Here is a 20202-nt window from a genome sequence, read left to right as displayed (position 1 = left end):
GAGCTGAGTAAAGAGGACTTGGGAAGTAGGCTGGCTCTAGGGCTCGTAAATATGGTAAGAGAATTCCACCAAGGAGAGAGAGGATTTCTCTGATTTTTCTTAATTATACTTTCCTGTATGATCTAAATGGTTTTTTGTTTTTGTTTTGAGACGGAGTTTCACACTGTCGCCCCGGCTGGAGTGCGATGGCACGACCTCCGCTCACTGTGACCTCTGCCTCCCAGGTTCAAGCGATTCTCCTGCCTCAGCCTTCTGAGTAGCTGGGATTACAGGCGCCCGCCACCATGCCCGGCTAATTTTTTTTGTATTTTTAGTAGAGATGGGGTTTTACTGTTGGCCAGGCTGCTCTTGAACTCCCCACCTCATGATCCACCTGCCTTGGCCTCCCAAAGTGCTGGGATTACAGGCGTGAGCCACCGTGCCTGGCTATAAATGTTTTATAATACATATACGTTTTATAATCTAAAATGTGGTATTTTAAAATATTATGGTCTGTAACAATTAATGAAGAAGTACATTGTGCAGTTTTACTTTTTAAAATTATAGAAGCAACGCACACATTCTTATTGTAAAAGAGTCAGGGCAAGCCACAATGGCACAGAACTGAATGGGAAGGTTCCCTCCTCACTGTCCTCTTGCTCCCCTGCCCAGAGGTGACACAGTTTTGTGCACATCCTTCCAGTCCCTTTCTACGTATTTTTCTTTGTATATATGTGCAGGTATCCTTCTTACATTTACATAAATGTGGTAATACTATACATACTGTTTTATAAATTACATTTTTCATTTTATACCACATCTTACAGATCTTTTACTATCAGTATATACAGATTTACCTTACACTTTGTTCGAAAATTTTTATTCATTTGATCTCAATAGCTGCTTAGTATTTATTAAATATATAAGCACACATTTCTAATATAGCTGTACCATAATTTATATACATCCTGAATTATAGAGATCAATTATATCCCGAATGATGGACACAAAGCCCTTTCCTGCTTTTTCTATTATAAACAACGTTTCCGTGACTATCCTTATTCTTATGTGCATGTAGGATACGTTTTGTTGGAAAGGTTATCTAGCAATGGAGTCTCTAGCTCAGAGAGTGCGCACAAATTCAGTAACAGCAAACACTGCCTAGCTGGATTCCTAAACACCGTGTCACTTTACACCCTCCACATGGATGAGTTCTGTTTCCTCAGATCCTAGCATTTTGCTGACATCGTATCTTGATTTATCAGGTGTGTTTGTCAGATTTCTTGAATGCGCATGTCTTCCTTTTATAATGAGAAAACATGTTTTAAAATCACACGGAGGCTGGGTGCAGGGGCTCACGCCTGTAATCCCGGCACTTTGAGAGGCTGAGGCAGGCGGATCACCTGAGGTCAGGACTTCGAAACCAGCCTGGCCAACATGGTGAAACCCTGTCTCTACTAGAAAACACAAAAATTAGCCGGGCATGGTGGTGCGTGCTTGTAATCCTAGCTACTCAGGAAGCTGAGGCAGGAGAATCGCTTCAATCCACAAGGTGGAGGTTGCAGTGAGCAGAGATGGCACCACTGTACTCCGGCCTGGGTGACAGAGTGAGACTCTATCTCAAAAAAAAAAAAAAAAAAAAAAAAATCTCATGGAAATGTTGCTTTTCAAATCTGAAAGCAAAGACACCAAAATGGTAAAAGTGGTTCTATTTGGGAGATGGGCTGTAAGCAATTTTTGTTTCTTTTATAATCTGAAAAAAAGGACAGTTAATGAAAAACAAGAATGTTAACATTCAAACATAGGTGTTATAGAAAAAAATTAGTGGTTATAAAAAAAAAAGAGAAAGAGAGAAAGAGAAAGATACCAAATAAGTCCTTGTGCATTTAGCCATTGAACTAGAACTGGAGAACTGGTTTGTTTATACTGCAAAGTAATGCTAACTTGGGCTTTCAGGACACAAAAAACATTTATCCAGGATAGACATTTGAGTAGATCTTTTAATATGTTATGAAAACACATATAATGATTACAATCTGAAAGTAGAAATGATTTAATACTTTAGAAAAAAATTAATAATCTATTTCCTGCTAGGATCCAGCCTACTTTAAAAGAACACTGGTTTGTAAAATAATATAAGGTGCGCCATATAAGAAAACTACAGGCAAAAAGAATGCCTTTTTACTGAGAAGTTTCGGCCAGTTCATTAACTATTACACACTATTTTCTTTTTCGGTCGTAAGTGTAAAATATTGAGCAACTGATAATTCTTTTAAGATTATCCTAGGATGATCTTCGTATGAAAGTATTCACAAGTGAGTTTACAAGGTCAATTTCCTGTGCAATATTCTAAGTTCAGTCATTTTTTTTTTTCCAAAAATTTCACAGGTCAGATTATGTGTGACAACACTGCAAAGTGAACCAGCTCTATCACTTGATATATTGCCCTTAGTTTAAAATGGCTGCTTTTAAAAACATATGGCTCCCAGCTGAAGTTTTATCACTGCTGTTTTTCTTCCCAGAAGATTCTATACCAATTTGATAAATTTCATCAGTGGGAAAATATTTTCTCCTCAACTTAGGAATGATTTTCTGTAATTGGAGATGTTTCTCACATGTAAAATACTGAATCAGAGCATGTTCTTTTAATGTCAGGAATGTCTTTAGCCAGCAGTTATTAGTACACCAAGAATTGCAAGGCAACATGTTAATAGACTGTCATAGAACTTGTACAAAACTAGAGTTGCCTTGTCTTTCCAGTGGGTGACCTGGGCCAACAGGCCAGATATCAGCAGCGAGTGTGTGCGACGGTACTCTGCCTGCCGGCCCACGTGTCTAGGACAAAAGGTGACAAGAGAACTTTGCAGCTCAAACTCACCAAGGACATGCAAGAGTTTGAGGAGGGCATCACCCTGGATTGGGAACAGTGGATAAGATCAAGTTCAGGATCTTGTTGACAGAAAGATCTTTTATCCAGAGAGTTAGATTTCCAAGCTCACTCACTCTATCCAGTAACCCCATTCCCATCAGGAATGCCTCTGTCAGAAATCTGATTTCTGTCCTGGTTTCAGGTTCCAGGTCACACATGCTGCCTTGAGGTCCTAGGTAATGATGACTCTAGGGGTAAAGGAGTTAACTGCCCCGCCAACCATGGAAGTGGGCTGCCGAAGGCCACCCAGCTCACTCTGGCCTTGGGAGCAGGTCTAGGTTGTCCCATCGCTGACCTGGCCAACTTCTTACCTTGGCATAGCTAACTACTCCTCTGCTCCAAATCCCACATCCCTTCCTTGCTTTCCTCTTGCTTGCTTTCTTGAGGAATCCTCTACGTCTCCATGACCTCCAACCCCCCATCTTTATTCCTGTAGCTGGGACTACAGGGCATAAAACAAAATAAGCACTAAGTAAATGTCTTTTGAATGAATAAATGAAGGGTCGTGTACAGCCCAGATTTTCCAATATTTTTGCAAACATTTTGAACTGTTTTACGTTTGTCTAATTATACTGTTTTTTTTGGGGGGGGGGGTAATGAGTTCTTTAAGCTAGTTACCAAGTCAAGTAATTCTCAACTGTTATCAGTAGACATTGCAGAGAATGCAAGAAGTGCTTTTTCATTGAAACACGCTGGAAATCAGTGAAAAAGAAACTGTGTTCATTTTATCCTGGTAGTATATATTTTCAGATAGTTTGAACACTTGATTCACTTCTTGACCTTTGCATTTTCAGCCTAAAGATCAATCCCTTGTCTTCATTTAACGGAATCTCTTTTCTTTTCCCTCCCTAACCCCTACCTCACTCTCTCTCTCTTCATCTTTTTAGGTGCAGTGATCAAACATGCTTGTAGTATTTACTTTTGTAGATACCTCCAATTTTTTTTTTTTTTGTTAAGTTTGATCATGGCTCACTGCAGCCTCAACCTCCTGGGCTCAAGTGATCCTCCCACCTCAGCCTCCCACGCAGCTGGTATTACAGGCACAACCCAGCATGCCCTGCTAATTTTTATATTTTTTGTACAGATGGGGTTTCACCATATTGCCCATGCTGGTCTCGAACTCCTAAGCTCAGGTGACCTACCCACCTCAGCCTCCCAAAGTGCTGGGATTACAGGTGCAAGCTACCATGCCTGGACTGTTAAGAAACTTAGATAAACAAGATCATAAGATAAATATTCTCTGTCTTCTTTCACTTAACACTATATTTATCAGATTCATTCACATTGTTGTATGTAGCTATAGATTCTCTGCATCATTGTAGGATATTCCATTATGTAAATTAACCACAATTTATTCATTCTACCTTTGATGGGCATTTGGATAGTTTCCAGTTTGCATTATGAACTTTTTTGTACATGTCGTTTGTTAAGTGTATATGCATACAAACATATACTTGCTAGAGCTACACCTAGAAGAATGGCTACGGTATGGAGTATTCCATATTTGTTCAAGTTTCACAGGTATTATCTCTTCTCAAATTTCCAAAGTGGCTGTACCAACTTGCACTTCTATTAGCAGTGCATAAAAATTTTCACTGCTTCATATCCTTACCTACACTTGGTATCTTCTGTATTTTTTCATTTTAGCCATTGGGTAGGTATATAGTGGTATTCCATTATGGTTTTATTTGCATGTCTCTGATAACTAATGAAACTGGGCACCTTTTTATATGCTTATTGGACATCTGTATATCCACTTTTTTAGGTGCCAGTTTATTAAGGGTATCTCCCTTTTGGCCATTTCCTAACATTTTCTTTTTCAAATCGTCTTGTGGTTTATATGATCTGTATGACAAGTGTTTTGTTAGGGAAGTGTATTGTGAATTTCCCCTATTCTTTGGCCTGCCGTTTGAATATCCTAATGGTGTCTTTTGACAAACAGAAGTCTTAAATTTAATATAGATCAATATATGAACAATTGATCAATATACGATCAATTGATCAATATACCACTTATTTCCTTTATGGTGAGCACTTTTTTTTTTTTTTTTTGAGACAGAGTCTTGTCCTGTTGCCCATGCTGGAGTGCATGGCACGATCTTGGCTCACTGCAACCTCTGCCTCCCGGGTTCAAGAGATTCTCGTACTTCAGCCTCCCGAGTAGCTGGGATTACAGGTGCCCACCACCACGCCCAGCTAATTTTTGTATTTTTAGTAGAGACGAGGTTTCACCATGTTGGACAGGCTGGTCTTGAACTCACGACTGCAGGCAATCCACCCGCCTTGGCCTCCCAAAGTGCTAAGACTGTAGGCGTGAGCCACTGCACCCGGCCGTTTATGGTGAGCACATTTTTGATTCTGTTTAAGAACTTTTTGACTATTCCAAAATCATTCTGTTTTCTTTTACATTTAGACCAGCAACTCATCTGGTTTGAGGCAGGGGTCAAGATTTCCCCTCCCCACCCCGTAAGGATAGCCAGTTGACCCAAAACCAATTATTGAAAAGATGATCCTTTCCCAACTGCACTGAAAAGCCACCTTTGTTATAAACCATATAGGTATGAGTCTGTTTCTGGACTCTTTGTTTCCCATTGGTCTATTTGTTGACCTTTGGGGCAGTATCACTGTCTTAATTACAACAGCTTTAAAAAGCTAGGTTTTGGCCGGGCATGGTGGCTCACGCCTATAATCCCAGCACTTTGAGAGGCTGAGGCGGGCAGATCACCTGAGGTCAGGAGTTCGAGACCAGCCTGGCCAACATGGTGAAACCCCATCTCTACTAAAAATACAAAAATTAGCCAGGCATGGTGGCAGGCACCTGTAATCCCAGCTATTTGGGAGGCTGAGGCAGGAGAAACGCTTGAATCCAGGAGGCGGAGGCTGCAGTGAGCCAGGACCATGCCATTGCACTCCAGCCTGTCCAACAAGAGTGAAACTCCATTTCAAAAAAAATAAAAAGTAAAATAAACAGCCAGGTTTTGATATTTGGTAGTAAAGTTGCCCAGTTTCATTCTTCTTTAATTCTCTTGGCTCTTTTCGGCCTTTTGCATTTTGCATGTATTTTAGAATCAACTTGTCAATTTCTACACACAACACAGATGCAAACGCACTCACAAATCCTGCTGGGATTTTAATTGGCATCATGTTGAATCTGTGCATCTTCCAAATCATAAAAATGACATTCCCTCTATTTAGGGCTTTAAAAAAGTTTTCCTCAATATTGTTTTGTAATGCTTTGTGCATAGGTCTTACACATCTTTCATCAGATGACTAGATATTTGATATTTTCCCAAAGGTAAATGGTATATATCACTTTAAAAGTTTAATTTCCTCTTTATTGTTATACACAGAAATGGACTTTTTTGTAAACTAAGTTTGTATCCAGTGACCTTGTTAACTTCACTCATTAATTCTAATACTTGATGATTACTTATACAATTGTGCGGTTTTGTTTCCATGTCTTATCCTTTCCTAAAACCATTTTTTTTTTTTGAGGCAGTCTTGTTCTCTTGCCCAGGCTAGAGTTCACTGGCGTGATCCCAGCTCATTGCAACCTCTGCTGCCCAGGTTCAAGCAATTCTCGTACCTCAGCCTCTCGAGTAACTAGGACCATAGGCATGCGCCATCACACCTGGCTAATTTTTGTGTTTTTAGTAGAGATGGTGTCTCACCATGTTGCCCAGGCTGGTCTCGAATTCCTGAGCTCAGGCAATCAGCCCACCTCAGCCTCCCAAAGTGCTGGGATTACAGGTGTGAGCCACCACGCCTGGACTTTAAAAAAAAAAAAAAGATGGGGTCATGTTGTTGCCCAAACTGGAGGGTAGTGGCTATTCACAGGCATAATCCCACTAGCAGTGATCAGCACAGGAGTTTTAACCTGGTCCATTTCCAACCTGGGTCGATTCACCCCTCCTTAGGCAACCTCGTGGTCTCTAGTTCCTGGAAGTTCACCATACTGATGCTCAACTTGGTGCAGACACCTGATCAACACAGCCCACTACAGCCCAGCACTCCTGGGCTCAAGTGATCCTCTATGTCCTCTCTTTGTACAGTATTTTTTAGTCTTTATTGAGCTTCTCCTTTGTTACAGCCCAGAATAGTGGTAAGTTCTTTGCTTCCCCAAATCCTCAACAGTCTTTTACAAGACAGGTGTCCCATCTGGAAAATGATACTCTGCCCAGGGGTTGTTTGTAACCATATTTTGGCCAAGTACTCCTCAGTTTCACACTTGAATTTGTTTAAAACAGCCAGGGAATTTCTAGATAGTCTAAAGGCTTTTATCTATTTTAGTCTACTTATTTTGTTTGATCAAATTTCTTTCTTAAACGTCTTAAAATGGTAACATCTTGATCAGTTTAGCTGAAACTCTGTTTGGGAAAGTGAGTAATACAATATGGCTGGAACTTAGGGTGGTGGAGCTATGAGATAAAGCTGAAATAGCAGCTTGTTACAGCCAGAGGAAGGGATACAGGAGCTGGGAGGTCACGATCTCCTCATTATGTGATTTTGGGGATAACATCCCATTCTTTTTGTGGCCATATCCTATTAGAAGCAAGTCAATAGGTCTAGCCCACAACAAGGGAGAAGATTACACAAGGCAGTGAATACCAGGAGGTGGTATTAATAATACGGGAGCATTGGCCAGGTATGTTGGTTCACGCCTGTAATCCCAGCACTTTGGGAGGCCGAGGCGGGCAGATCACCTGAGGTCAGGAGTTCGAGACCAGCCTGGCCAACATGGTGAAACCCCATCTCTACTAAAAGTACAAAAATTAGCCAAGCATGGTGGCGCGCACCTGTAATCCCCGCTACTCGGGAGGCTGAGGCAGAACCGCTTGAGCCCAGGAGATGGAGGGTGCAGTGAGCCAAGATTGTGCCACCGTACTCCAGCCTGGCCAACAGAGCGAGACTCTCTCTCAAAAAAACAAAAAAATAAAAATAAAAACAAAGCCAAAAAGGAGCATTTTAGAGGCTGGCTACCACACCTTCCTTGGGTTTTCTAGAGGTGACTCTTTCAAGCTGGTTCCGAAAAGGATCAGGTTAATTTCAATCACAACCAAAAATTATGTTATCTTTATGAAGGTTTCTCGACATGCCACACATCTCCTGACCCCAGCCTGGGGTGTGTTCCAGGCTGCAGTATAATGCCACTCTGGCTCTTCATGAGAGCTCATCCCTTCTCAGGCTTCTTGTATTGAGAACTGATACTTCTTACATGCAATCTTTCTTGTATCCTATATCCAATCTGTCAGGAAATTCTGTTGCTTATACCTTCAAAATATATCCAGACTCCACTTCCCACCAGCTCACTGCTACCACTTTGGTCTGAGCCACAATCATTTCTTGCCTGGCTTATTACAACGGACTCATCACTGTCCTCTCTGATTTGGCCCCGGCTCCGCTTCAGGATCCTTTCAACACAGGAGCTAGAATGATCTTGTTTAAATGATCAAATCGCCTTTCCACTCAAAATCCTCTCATTTTATAAAAGATAAAGACCTAACTATGGTCCACAAGGAGCTGAAAAATCTGCTTGTGCCGCCTCCATTCTTCAACATCATTTCCCACTTTTCTTCCCCTTCCTGTGCCAGAGCACATCAGCCACGCTTCTGCCTCAGGCCCAGGCACTGACTGGCCCTTCTCTCTGCCTAGAACAGTCTTCTCTCAGTAAATGCTCCCTCAGCTCCTTCAAGTTTTTCTTCATATGTCACCTTCAAAATGAGGGCTTCCTTAACCAAGTGGCTTTTAAAAAATTATTTTATTCCCAGGCTGGAGTGCTGTGGTCCCATCTCACTGCAACCTCCGCCTCCCAGCCTCAAGCGATCCTCCCACCTCAGCCTCCAGAGTAGCTGGGACTATAGGCACCATGACCGGCTAAGTTTGGTATTTTTGGAAGAGATGAGGTTTCGCTATGTTGCTCAGGCTGATCTAGAACTTGTGAACTCAAGTAATCCTCCCATCTCGGTCCCCAAAGTGCTGGGATTACAGGCGTGAACCACCACATCCAGCCCCAAGCTGTTTTAAAATTACAGCAATTGCACCCAATACTCCCCTCTTCCCATGCCTTATTTTTATCACCACCTCATGTTCGGTATAATCATCATTCACAGAGTAAGCACTCCATAAATGAGTGCTGTATAATATGTGGGAAGTAAATCCCATTTTTGGGGTTGAAAGGGAGGTTCTGAGAAGTGAAGGGATGGAAAGGGAAGTTTGCTGGCTGACAGCCTTAACTTTGCACTCCATCTTCTCCAGTTCCCCCAGGACAACCCTGAGAATCAGCTATGTGCCGGGCACGCTAGGCCCTGGGGTTACAACTTTGGGGCTTAACTGTTTTTCGTTTCATCTTTTAACTTTAATACCAAATCTTTGTTGTTCACACAGAACAATCTTTACAGAAATGAAAAAGCTTGGTGACCCTCAACCTCCATATCCACCTTTGTGTTTAGCCTGGCTTTCTGCTTCATCTAGGCCCCTTGAGTAACTGGCATTCACACACACACTTGCTTATATGTTTACTATTCATTACACACATTAAAAATTTTTTTTCCCATTGAAATAGTCATAGAGGTCTGTTAAATAGGCCTGTATATTTTCTTGCTTTCCTGGGTTAGACATCTTCAGACAGTTTTTCTTTTGGTAGCAAAAGCAAAATACTTCTTCCCCCTCCTAACTTTGCTGTATTTGTCATATACGGAAAGGAGTCGCGAGACATCATGAACCCCACATACAATGAAGTCCTTCTGGAATATTTTCAAATTATCCCCTTTTTCTGCCATTACTGTGGCCTAAACTACCTTGCTTAAATGGACAATGTCATCATTGAATCAAGAAAATACTGTGATCCACTGGCATCCCTTTTCACCTTAGCCTTCATATCATATTTATATTAAATGTCTGTTATATATATTTAGTATCATCCCACCTAGCTCTTTAATGGTTAGAGTCCAACCTACACACTCTTCCCAGTGGGAATGGCTGCTCTATAAAGTTCTTTGTACGTGTTTTTTTTTTTTCCTAACATTCACTTGGTGCCAATAATTATATTTTGTCCAATCACTTTTTTTTTTTTTTAAAGAGATAGGGTCTCACTCTGTTGCTCAGGCTGGAGCACAGTGATGTGATCATAGCTCACGGTAACCTTGGGATCCTGAGCTCAAGCAGACCCCTCACCTCAGCCTCAGGGGCAGGTGGGACCATAGGTACTTCTGTGCCACCACACTCAGTTATTTTTTAAATTTCTTGTAGAGATAGGGTCTTGCTATGTTGCCCAGGCTGGTCTCGGAGCTTCCCACCTCGACTTCTGAAAGTACTGGGGTTACAGGTGTGAACCACTAAGTCTGGCCTGGAATATCTTGATCCATCCATTCCTTGATTCTAAACGTCTAGCAATTTACATGACATTTCACACCATGTTGCAGAGTTATATACTGCTTTGATTTGCTTTATGGTAGTCTCTAATTTCGTTGATCTTCCTCTTAAAAATGCCTTGTTTTAATATTTAGTATTACAGGACTGATAAGTTCAGTAATTTGATAAGCAACTTAGGGATAAGTAGTTAATTTCTGAGGTTTAAATTGCTGGTTTTAAAAAATTGTAAATTGGTGGCCTAGACAGATGCATTTTATCTTGGAGAATGAATGTATTCGTGACTGGAAGTAATGGCAGCTATAATTCGTTACGTTATTTTACAGTCACATCTCAGCTGCATAACCTATTTACTTTTTGCAGTGTTATCACTGATTCACAAGACAATTTTGCTTTTATCTGGGCACATGATTGCTTGTTTCTCCTTATCTTTTAGCTTCCCTTTATATATACTTTCCAACATTGGAGTGATTCAGAATATATGTGAGGAATGGGATGGTGATTTAGGAAAGGCGGGAAAATTATGGGCTAAATCATCTGATGAAAAATTCTGGCCCAGCGCAGTGGCTCACGCCTGTAATCCCAGCACTTTGGGAGGCCGAGACGGGCGGATCACAAAGTCAGGAGATCGAGACCATCCTGGCTAACACGGTGAAACCCCGTCTCTACTAAAAACACAAAAAATTAGTCGGGTGTGGTGGCAGGCACCTGTGGTCCCCAGCTACTCGGGAGGCTGAGGCAGGAGAATGGTGTGAACCCGGGAGGCGGGGCTTGCAGTGAGCTGAGATGGTGCCACTGCACTCCAGCCTGGGCGACAGTGTGAGACTCCGTTTCTTAAAAAAAAAAAAAAAAAAAAAATTCTGGCTAGTTATTAAATTCATTAAAAATATTTCTTCAGATTTTTACCCCAACAGTTCATAGGTGACCTTTTTTCAGTTTCCAGTATGAACTCTCAATATGGAATCTCAGTTTACATGACAATGGTATTTTACCCCATAGATACATCCTAGTAAAAATAAATTCGGAATACTCTTAACTGCATTGCCACATGAAGCAATAGGAGAGACTGTATCCTAAGCAGAATCCCTCTAATTCCTCTGGGTTGAGGTAGCTTGACCCCCCATAACCAAGATCAATTTTTTTTTTTTTTTTGAGATGGAGTCTCGCTCTGTCGCCCAGGCTGGAGTGCAGTGGCGTGATCTCGGCTCACTGCAAGCTCCGCCTCCCGGGTTCACGCCATTCTCCTGCCTCAGCCTCCCGAGTAGCTGGGACTACAGGCGCCCGCCACCACGCCCGGCTAATTTTTTGTATTTTTAGTAGAGACGGGGTTTCACCGTTATTAGCCAGGATGGTCTCGATCTCCTGACCTTATGATCCGCCCGCCTCGGCCTCCCAAAGTGCTGGGATTACAGGCGTGAGCCACCGCGCCTTGCAAATATCCTCACACTTTGCAGAGGCGGCAAGTGAACAGTGCTCATCTTGATAAAGGATTTTTAACACTGACACGTGCTTAGAACTACGAACAGTGGAAGGGTCTGAAATGGCAGCAATGTCGCCCTTTCACAGGTTTCTAGGGCGATAAGCACTGCAAGCTCGGCCAGCCAAAGTCCAGCGGTGGGGGAAAAAACGGCCAAGGCAGCAGCAGACATAATCAAACAGGGCCCGGGTCGGCGGCGGTGGCTCACGCCTGTAATCCCAGCACTTTGGGAGGCCGAGGCGGGCGGATCACCAGAAGTCGGGAGTTCGAGACCAGCCTGACCAAGACCCGTCTCTACTAAAAATAGAAAATTAGCCGGGCGTGGTGGCGCATGCCTGTAATCCAGCTACTCGGGAGGCTGAGGCATGAGAATCGCTTGAACCCGGAAGGCGGAGGTTGCGGTGAGTCGAGATCGCGCCATTGCACTCCAGCCTGGACAACCAGAGCGAAACTCCGTCTCAGGAGAAAAAAAAAAAAGTAGTAACGGGTCCGGCGGCAGCGCGCGGGCCGGGCGAGCGTCTCCCGGCAAACGCGGCGCCACAGCTGAGCCGACCTCCGGGGCCCGCGCCCTCCCCTCCCCGGGCACCACTAGGAGCGGCCAGCCCGGGCCTCGGCTCCGCGCGCGGGGAAACGAGCGCGGCGGTTAAAACCGTTACCACCCCCGAGTTTTGAACTGGTTCAAACTTGGCTTCCAGCACCCGCCCCGCCCCTCCCCCGCCCGGGAACTCTGCGGCGCCGGTTCCCGCCAAGAGCCGCCGGCGCTTCGTCCCGCCCTTCGGCCGGTTCCCGCCACCTATCCTCCCCGCCTCCCGTCCGCGGCGGGCTCCGGGCCCCCGCGATGTCTCCCGGTCCCCGCGTGCCTGCACACCGCCTTCCTGAGAGGCGCCGTGTGTTCAGCGAAAGAACAAAGAGACGGCGGCGGCGCTTCCACACGGCCAGTGGCGTCCCTTACAGCGAACCCCGCCGCCGCCCGCGCGCGCACGCGCTGCCAGTGCCCGCCCGCCCACGAGCCCTGAGCGCACTCTGCGTGGGGCTGGCTCGGCGCCTCCGAGCCCGGCGGGCCCTGTGATTGGACGGGCGCCCGCCTCGCGTCCCGCCAATCGGGGCGGCGCTTGATTGGGCTGGGGGGGCCAAATAAAAGCGATGGCGATTGGGCTGCCGCGTTTGGCGCTCGGTCCGGTCGCGTCCGACACCCGGTGGGACTCAGAAGGCAGTGGAGCCCCGGCGGCGGCGGCGGCGGCGCGCGGGGGCGACGCGCGGGAACAACGCGAGTCGGCGCGCGGGACGAAGGTAACGCGCCGCTGCGGGCGGCCCGGCCGGCGGGGCTCCGGGAGTGCGAACCGGGCGGCGGCGGCGGCGCCAGGACCTCCCCGCCACTGCTGTGCCGGTCCCGGGTATCGCCGAGCGGGGCTCACCGGGGCGCCGCGTTTGTAGGCGTGCGGGGGGTGGAGGGTGAGGGGAGAGCCCCCCTCCCCGGAAGGAGCTGTGAGCTTCGGGCTGGCCCGCGGGACCCTGCGAGTGAGGCAGCGCACACCCCTGGAGCTGCGGGGCGGGGGGCGTGTGGGGGGCTCCTTTCCCGGTGCTTGTCCTGGCCGGGGCGCCGGGGCCGGGGTCGGGGCGTTCCGGTGCCCGGTCCAGGGTGGCAGCTCGAGCCTCAAGTCTCCTTTGTGTGGCGCGGCCGCGGCGGGAGCGCCCGGGTGGGACGGGACAGACACAAGTTGGTGGGACCCAGCCGCCGAGTCCGCACTCAGACAAAGGACGGACTGTGTCTCCGGAGGGCTCGGCGCGAGGGGAAGGGGCATGACACCCGGGCCCGCCGGCGGGCGGGAGAGGGGCGTGGGGAGGCGCGGGCCGCTGCCGGGGTGGGCAGGGCTCGGCCCTCGCCTCGCGCACGCCCCCGGTCCCGGGCGCGCCGACCCCGGGCTGGGGCCGCGGCGCTCGCGGGACGACGTTCGCGGCGGGGAACTCGGAGTAGCTTCGCCTCTGACGTTTCCCCACGACGCACCCCGAAATCCCCCTGAGCTCCGGCGGTCGCGGGCTGCCCTCGCCGCCTGGTCTGGCTTTATGCTAAGTTTGAGGGAAGAGTCGAGCTGCTCTGCTCTCTATTGATTGTGTTTCTGGAGGGCGTCCTGTTGAATTCCCACTTCATTGTGTACATCCCCTTCCGTTCCCCCCAAAAATCTGTGCCACAGGGTTACTTTTTGAAAGCGGGAGGAATCGAGAAGCACGATCTTTTGGAAAACTTGGTGAACGCCTAGTGAGTTGCCACTTTCTAAAGAATCGTAATCCTTAAACATTACAAGCTGTTTTGGCCAACTTGTGTGATACATCTGAGAATGGCGACAGGTGCTAACGAAATCAACTGTCATTCAGCCAGATTATTCCCCAAATCCCGACGGGTTGAATGAGGATGAGGTGGTAGAAGTAGGTGATCAAAATAGAATGGCTATGACAAATGTGTGTTTAGATTATACGGTTAGCAGTTTCTTATTAATTGGTCTCGTTTTCTGTGAACAATAGCTTTGGTGATTCAGAAAAGACTGCATGGAGAAATGTTTGTTGCCTAAGAAATTTAACGTGTGCTGTCCACAGTTAAACTTCCTTTATCACACAGGATCTGTAACATTTAAATTCATTTGGAAATAAAAATGTGTCTTTGCTATTTACTTAAAGGCTTGCTTTTTAGGGTTCAAGCAAGTTATTATTAGTTTAATTTTGTGGCGTTTTGATGTCATCATAAAACAGCATTTAATAAACCTTTGAAAAACACGAATGCTGTCACAATTGAATGTAGTTTATACTTTTAGGGGTTTTGGAGTTTATTTTCTATTACTCTTCATAAGCATTAGCAACTAATTCATGTTTAGGAATACTGTACAAGTGTGTAATCCTAACTTGTTTATTTGTAATTTTATTTGCAGGAAAACAAGTATTTAAGATATATTTTAATTTTCTATTCATGGTCTCTAAAGTTAGGAATAGGTAGGATTCTAGTCATAGATATAAAGCGTCTTGTTCTCTCTTTTCGGAGGTGTGTTGGGTGATGTAATATTTAAGGTTTCCCGGAAACAGGAACACTGCATCTTAAATTCTCGTTTTTGTGGAAAGTGAATATATTCCAAGAAAACAAGTTAGAAAAACATAGGCGTTCTTCTGGTTGCACTGTCCTATATGATAAAGATCTAATGTGCATCTGCTAACTTAAGGTTTCATAAAAATGGAGACAAATAAATGCAATATAAATTTATTACATATATTTTGGAGAGTGTTGACACCACTGTACGGGCATTCCAGGTGCTGGTCTAAGTGTTGAGACATTATAACAAAAAAGTAACGTTTATATTAGTTACTATTAATTCTGTATTTAAAAAATCCTATTAATAATCTTGTCCATTATGAGATAAGGTAGTTATGCAGATTTTTGGCAGAAATTCGGATATTTTAGGATACATATGTGTGTGTGTGTGTGTGTGTGTGTGTGCGCGCGCGTGTGTGTGTGTGTATATGTTTTTTTTTTTTTGAGACAGAGCCTTGCTCTGTCGTCCAGGCTGGAGTGCAGTGGCTGGATCTGGGCTCACTACAATCTCTGCCTCCCGGGTTTAAGGAATTCCCCTGCCTCAGCCTCCCGAGTAGCTGGAACTACAGGCACGCACCACGACACCCGGCTAATTTTTGTATTTTTAGCAGAGACAGGGTTTCACCATGTTGGCCAGGCTGGTCTCGAACTCCTGACCTGAAGTGATGTACCCGCCTCCGCCTCCCAAAATGCTGATCCAGACGTGAGCCACCACGCCCAGCCTAGGATAAAAATTTCTAACTTTGCCCTTGAGTGTTCTCTGTATTTGATAATTACTATTCTTTGTACTTGCCATGAGATATTTTGAAAAACATCTCTTTGGGGAATTGGTTTAAAAATTCATATTAAATTATTTTCTGGTACAATTGAGAATGTATTTAGTCAGTTTAAGTAGCAGTGACTTAAAACACACTTGTTGATCTAGTGTAGTTAGAAAAAGTTCTGATACTTTGATACCTAGCTTTGCCTTGCACAAATACATTTAAGTGAATATCTTTATGTTGGCCATTTAAAAATTTTAGGCAAATTTCTCCAAGTCATACTGGAATTTTCCCAGGATACCTTCCTTCTTTTGAGGTAGTGTGCTCAAGGATTCTGAATTTATTTCAGTATTACCCTTTACATGAGCAGTGATTGAGAAAGTTGATCTGCTTTTTAAAAACCAACAAGGACAAATCCTCCAATATAATGTATTCTGTGGTTAATTAGCAATGATTTATGGATTAGCCTTGAAGTCTTTATATCAGTATAGATGACAAATTTTCTGTAAATCATGATAGATTCTATATGAGTAGGTGAAATCTTCGGGGGAGAGCATAAGTGAACAGCAGCAATTCATTAAATTCAGAGAAAGGTTCATGGTCAGATGATACATACTTTACCTTCTGGAGGTCTTCCCTGAATTCCCACTCTTGTGTTCCCACAGGGTTTTATCATATTTTATTGTAGCATGACTCAATTGTATTGTAATCACTTGTTTATGCATCCCTCTCTTCCCTACAGTCAAAGTGCCTCCTGGTAGAGGCTCTGTCTTATTTTTTTCTTTGTATACCTAGTACCTACGTTGGTATTTGCTAGAGAATAGGGGTTTTAAATATAGTTGAATGAATTAAGGAAATATGAAAAATGTAGGGAAATAATTTGACAAAGGAACTTGCAAAGTGAACAGGATATGTTAGTATTCATGTGAGGAACTTTGAAATGTGTTTTTCTCCCTCTTTAATAGGGAATGATTACAAAGAAAAATAGTTGTCAAGGTGAACAAGTTCCAAGTTTTTCCTAGTTATAATCTGTAGTACTAAACATTAGATATCCTTTAGATGCAACTATTACACTCGGACAACTGGAGAGAACTTGATGAATCATCTGGATATTTAGTAATAGTATTTGCTTAATTTGATTTAATGTTGATATTGATGATCTCTTTGCAAAAATATAAGGAAGGGAAAGGGCGAGAGAGGGTAGTAGATCTTTTAACTGAAAAGCTGTTTTGTTATAATTCATGAGTTCTTTATTGGAGTAAATTGAGGTAGGTTTTGGAGCTAAAACTGAAGGATGTAGCGACAGTGTAATTGGATCATTTATTGGGATGCTTTTCATCATTCTTTTAAAATGATTTAAATACAGATTAGCAAATTTAGTGATACCTCAAAAGTTACAGCTGGTAAATTTCTAAGATAGTTGCACCATTCCATATCTTGCCACTGTTCCACTACTTGGTATAAAAATATGACAAATTTGTGTTTAGATTATGTGGTTAGCAGTTTCTTAATAATTGGTCTTGTTTTCCATTAACAATAGCAAGACAGAACAAGATCATAGCTCACTGCATCCTTAAACTCCTGGGCTCAAGGGATCCTCCTGTCTCAGCCTCCTGAGTAACTGGTATTACCAGTGCACACCATTGTGGTGACTTATTTAATTTTTTAATTTTTTGTAGAGATGGGATCCTGCTTTGTTGCCCACGTTGATCTCAAACTCCTGGCTCCAGGCAATCCTCCTGCCTTGGCCTCTTAAAGTACAGGGATGACAGGCTGAGCCATTGTGTTTGACCCAGATACTTTTTTTTTTTGAGACGGAGTCTCGAAAGTGATTCTTGTGCCTCAGCCTCCTGAGTAGCTGGGACTACAAGCGTGCGCCACCACGCTCGGCTAATTTATTTATTTATTATTTATTATTTATTTTTTTGAGATGCAGTGTCACTCTGTCACCTAGACTGGAGTGCAGTGGCACCATCTTGGCTCACTGCAACCTCCACCTCCTGGGTTCAAATGATTCTCCTGCCTCACCTCTCAAGTAGTTGGGATTACAGGCATGCACCACCAGGCCTGGCTAATTTTTGTATTTTTAGTAGTGATGGGATTTCACCATGTTGGCCAGGCTGGTCTCGAACTCCCGACCTCAGGTGATCCACCTGCCCTGGCCTCCCAAAGTACTAGGATTACAGGCGTCAGTCACTGTGCCCAGCCTCCGATAATTTTTATATTTTAGTAGAAACTGGGTTTCACTGTGTTGGCCAGGCTGGTCTGGAACTCCTGACCTCAAGTGATTGACCTGCCTCGTCCTCCCAAAGTGGTGGGATTATAGGTGTGAGCCACCACACCCTGCTGTGTTGTTTTTGTTTTTGTTTTTTGTTTTTGTTTTTGTTTTTTGATATGGAGTCTCACACTTGTTGCCCAGGCTGGAGTGCAGTGGCGTGATCTCGGCTCACTGCAACCTCTGCCTCCTGGGTTCAAGCGATTCTCCTACCTCAGCCTCCCGAGTAGCTGGGATTACGGGAACGCACCACCACACCTGGCTAATTTTTGTATTTTTAGTTGAGATGGGGTTTCACCACGTTGGCCAAGCTAGTCTCGAACTGCTGACCTCAGATGATCCGCCTGCCTCGGCCTCCCAAAGTGCTGGGATTACAGGCGTGAGCTACTGCGCACGCCTGGCCTGGATACTTTTTAAACATTTTTAAATTAAAAATTTTTTTTTGGAGACAGGGTCTTGTTGTCACCCAGGCTGGAGTGCAGATGCGTGATCTCAGTTCACTGCAACCTCTGCCTCCTGGGCTCAAGCGATCCTTCCATCTCAGCCTCCCAAGTAGCTGGGACTACAAGTGCATGCCACCACGCCTGGCTAATTTTTGTATTTTTTGTAGAGACAGGGTTTTGCCATGTTGCCCAGGCTGGTCTTGAACTCCTGAACTCAAGAGATCCACCTACCTCAGCCTCCCAAAGTGCTGGGATTATAGGTGTGACCCACTGCACCCAGCTTTTGTTTTTAATATTTGTAAGAACCACCTTGTGTCTGCCAACAGGCGAATTAACAAAATGTGGTATATAAACCAATGAAAACATAAAAGGAGTGAAATAAAGACGTAAAAGGAGTGAAATTTCAAAATAAAAGTAAAAAGATTTCAAAATAATTCAGACATAAAAGGAGTGAAATTCTGATACATGGATGGAGCTGGAGAATATTATGCTTAGTGAAATAAGCCAGATACAACCTTTTGTACAAAAATACAAAATTGTATGATCTCATTTATATGAGGTAGTTAGAAGAGGCAACTCTATGGAGACAGAAAGTAGAATAGAGGTTACCAGGGCTGTGAGGGGAGAGGTGAATGGGGAGTTTAATGAATACAGAGTTTCTGTTTGGAATGGTGAAAAAATTCTGGAGATGGATAATAGTGATGGTTGAACAATATTTTGAATATATTTAATGCCACAGAATTGTACACTTAAAAATGGTTAAAATGGTAAATTTTACACGATATGTATCTGTATCTATATATATCTCTCTCTATATCTATATATCTTACCAGAATACAAAATTTAATAACACACTCCGAAAACCTTTACAGATGAGGAAACTGAAGAAAACTGTCTACAGGGGAGGAGTTAAGAATTTGCCCAGGATTATTCAGCTGGGAATTTGCATTCGGGATCCAAACTTAGTTCTGTTTCACTACATATTATCTACTCCATATTATCTGTTCTGTGTTATCTGCTGGCTTTCTGGGTGATTAAAGATATGTCAGCTCCGAGAAGAATGAGTTTATTTGAATCATTCAGAAAGTTACATTTAAAAGTAGGTAATTGTAGTTTGATGGAAGGTACAGTGTGAAACCCTAGACAGACTAAAGGTTAACTTTGAGGATTTCTTTCTCAGCCAGAGTGGTAATAGTATGCATTTGAGAGGGGAGGAGAGTAGAGTTCTAAGGATGTGGTCTTTGGAGACAGTTTCTTGGGTTCCAGTCCCTGAGCTACCAATTTGTGTCTGGGGTGTTATCCTCTTGATGTCTTAGCATCCCTATCTGTAAATTGGTGAGGATAATGATAACATCTGATAAGGTGGTTGTGAGGATTAAAGGAATTGATACATGTGAAATCCTTAGAACTGTACCTGGCAAAAAGTGTTTGATAAATGATTTTCAGTTATTGTGCCAATATTATTTTAGAGTTGATGTACTTTCTCATTAATGGAACCAAACACTTCTCAAGTTAAAATTACGTGCTTAGGACTGGTAAGTTACAAAAATGGTACCACACGTTTTATCTATTTCAATTTAGAAATGTCTGTTGATTAAATGTGTTCGCTTTAAACTACTGAAACAATGTAGACATTTATAAAATGAAAGCGTATTGATCCCTGTTATCTCATTCGCTACCTTTAACGGTTTGGTGTATATTCTTCCCCAAATTTTCAAATATATTCATATATGAATATGTATTTTTACATACATTTTATAAAAATGGGACCAAGTTATTTGGTTCTAACATGGCTTTTTTTTAAGGTCAATACAAAGATCTGTTTTATTAAAAAATAATTGATATTCCTTTAGGGCTCACTATATGCTTGGTACTCTTCTAAGTCATTATTTTA

At 43.6% G+C, this 20202-nt stretch overlaps 1 protein-coding gene, 1 long non-coding RNA gene and 1 pseudogene across 23 annotated transcripts in view, besides 5 other annotated features; 1 reads left to right on the top strand and 2 right to left on the bottom strand.

The window, feature by feature from the left end:
* On the bottom strand, positions 6694–6981 carry RN7SL569P (RNA, 7SL, cytoplasmic 569, pseudogene; annotated as a pseudogene).
* Positions 9411–12018, bottom strand: LOC124901767 (uncharacterized). Its single transcript, XR_007060579.1, has 2 exons — positions 11724–12018; positions 9411–10850 (listed from the first exon to the last, which is right to left on the bottom strand). It is a non-coding gene; the product is annotated as an uncharacterized LOC124901767 (long non-coding RNA).
* Positions 12283–12512: a silencer, noted in NCBI's record as "silent region_18738". NCBI's record gives its function as "represses an Ori minimal core promoter by ATAC-STARR-seq in GM12878 lymphoblastoid cells {active_cell/tissue: GM12878}" and the evidence as "EXISTENCE:reporter gene assay evidence [ECO:0000049][PMID:35858748]".
* Positions 12633–13002: a silencer, noted in NCBI's record as "silent region_18737". NCBI's record gives its function as "represses an Ori minimal core promoter by ATAC-STARR-seq in GM12878 lymphoblastoid cells {active_cell/tissue: GM12878}" and the evidence as "EXISTENCE:reporter gene assay evidence [ECO:0000049][PMID:35858748]".
* The window catches only part of EZH2 (enhancer of zeste 2 polycomb repressive complex 2 subunit), a 76909-nt gene continuing 69622 nt past the window's right edge, over positions 12916–20202 (top strand). For 12 of the 22 annotated variants that reach the window (XM_047420002.1, XM_017011820.3, NM_001203248.2 and 9 more), the window contains exon 1: positions 12916–13043. The gene's annotated coding sequence lies outside the window, so the exon portion shown is untranslated. Of the gene's footprint in view, positions 13272–13721; positions 14011–20202 lie in introns of those variants that run through there. The other 10 variants (NM_001203249.2, XM_005249962.5, XM_047419989.1 and 7 more) reach the window with 8 other exon arrangements.
* Positions 12971–13662: an enhancer, noted in NCBI's record as "H3K27ac hESC enhancer chr7:148580637-148581328 (GRCh37/hg19 assembly coordinates)". NCBI's record gives its function as "activates a minimal SCP1, AML or CMV promoter by ChIP-STARR-seq in primed H9 embryonic stem cells {active_cell/tissue: H9 hESC(primed)}" and the evidence as "EXISTENCE:reporter gene assay evidence [ECO:0000049][PMID:30033119]".
* Positions 12971–13752: a biological region, named in NCBI's record as "H3K27ac hESC enhancer GRCh37_chr7:148580637-148581328".
* Positions 13163–13752: a silencer, noted in NCBI's record as "silent region_18736". NCBI's record gives its function as "represses an Ori minimal core promoter by ATAC-STARR-seq in GM12878 lymphoblastoid cells {active_cell/tissue: GM12878}" and the evidence as "EXISTENCE:reporter gene assay evidence [ECO:0000049][PMID:35858748]".

Source organism: Homo sapiens, chromosome 7 (genome assembly GCF_000001405.40).
Source record: "Homo sapiens chromosome 7, GRCh38.p14 Primary Assembly".
Taxonomy (NCBI): Eukaryota; Metazoa; Chordata; class Mammalia; order Primates; family Hominidae; genus Homo; species Homo sapiens.
Note: the sequence above shows the minus strand (reverse complement) of the source record. Positions and strands in the feature narration are given on the sequence as shown.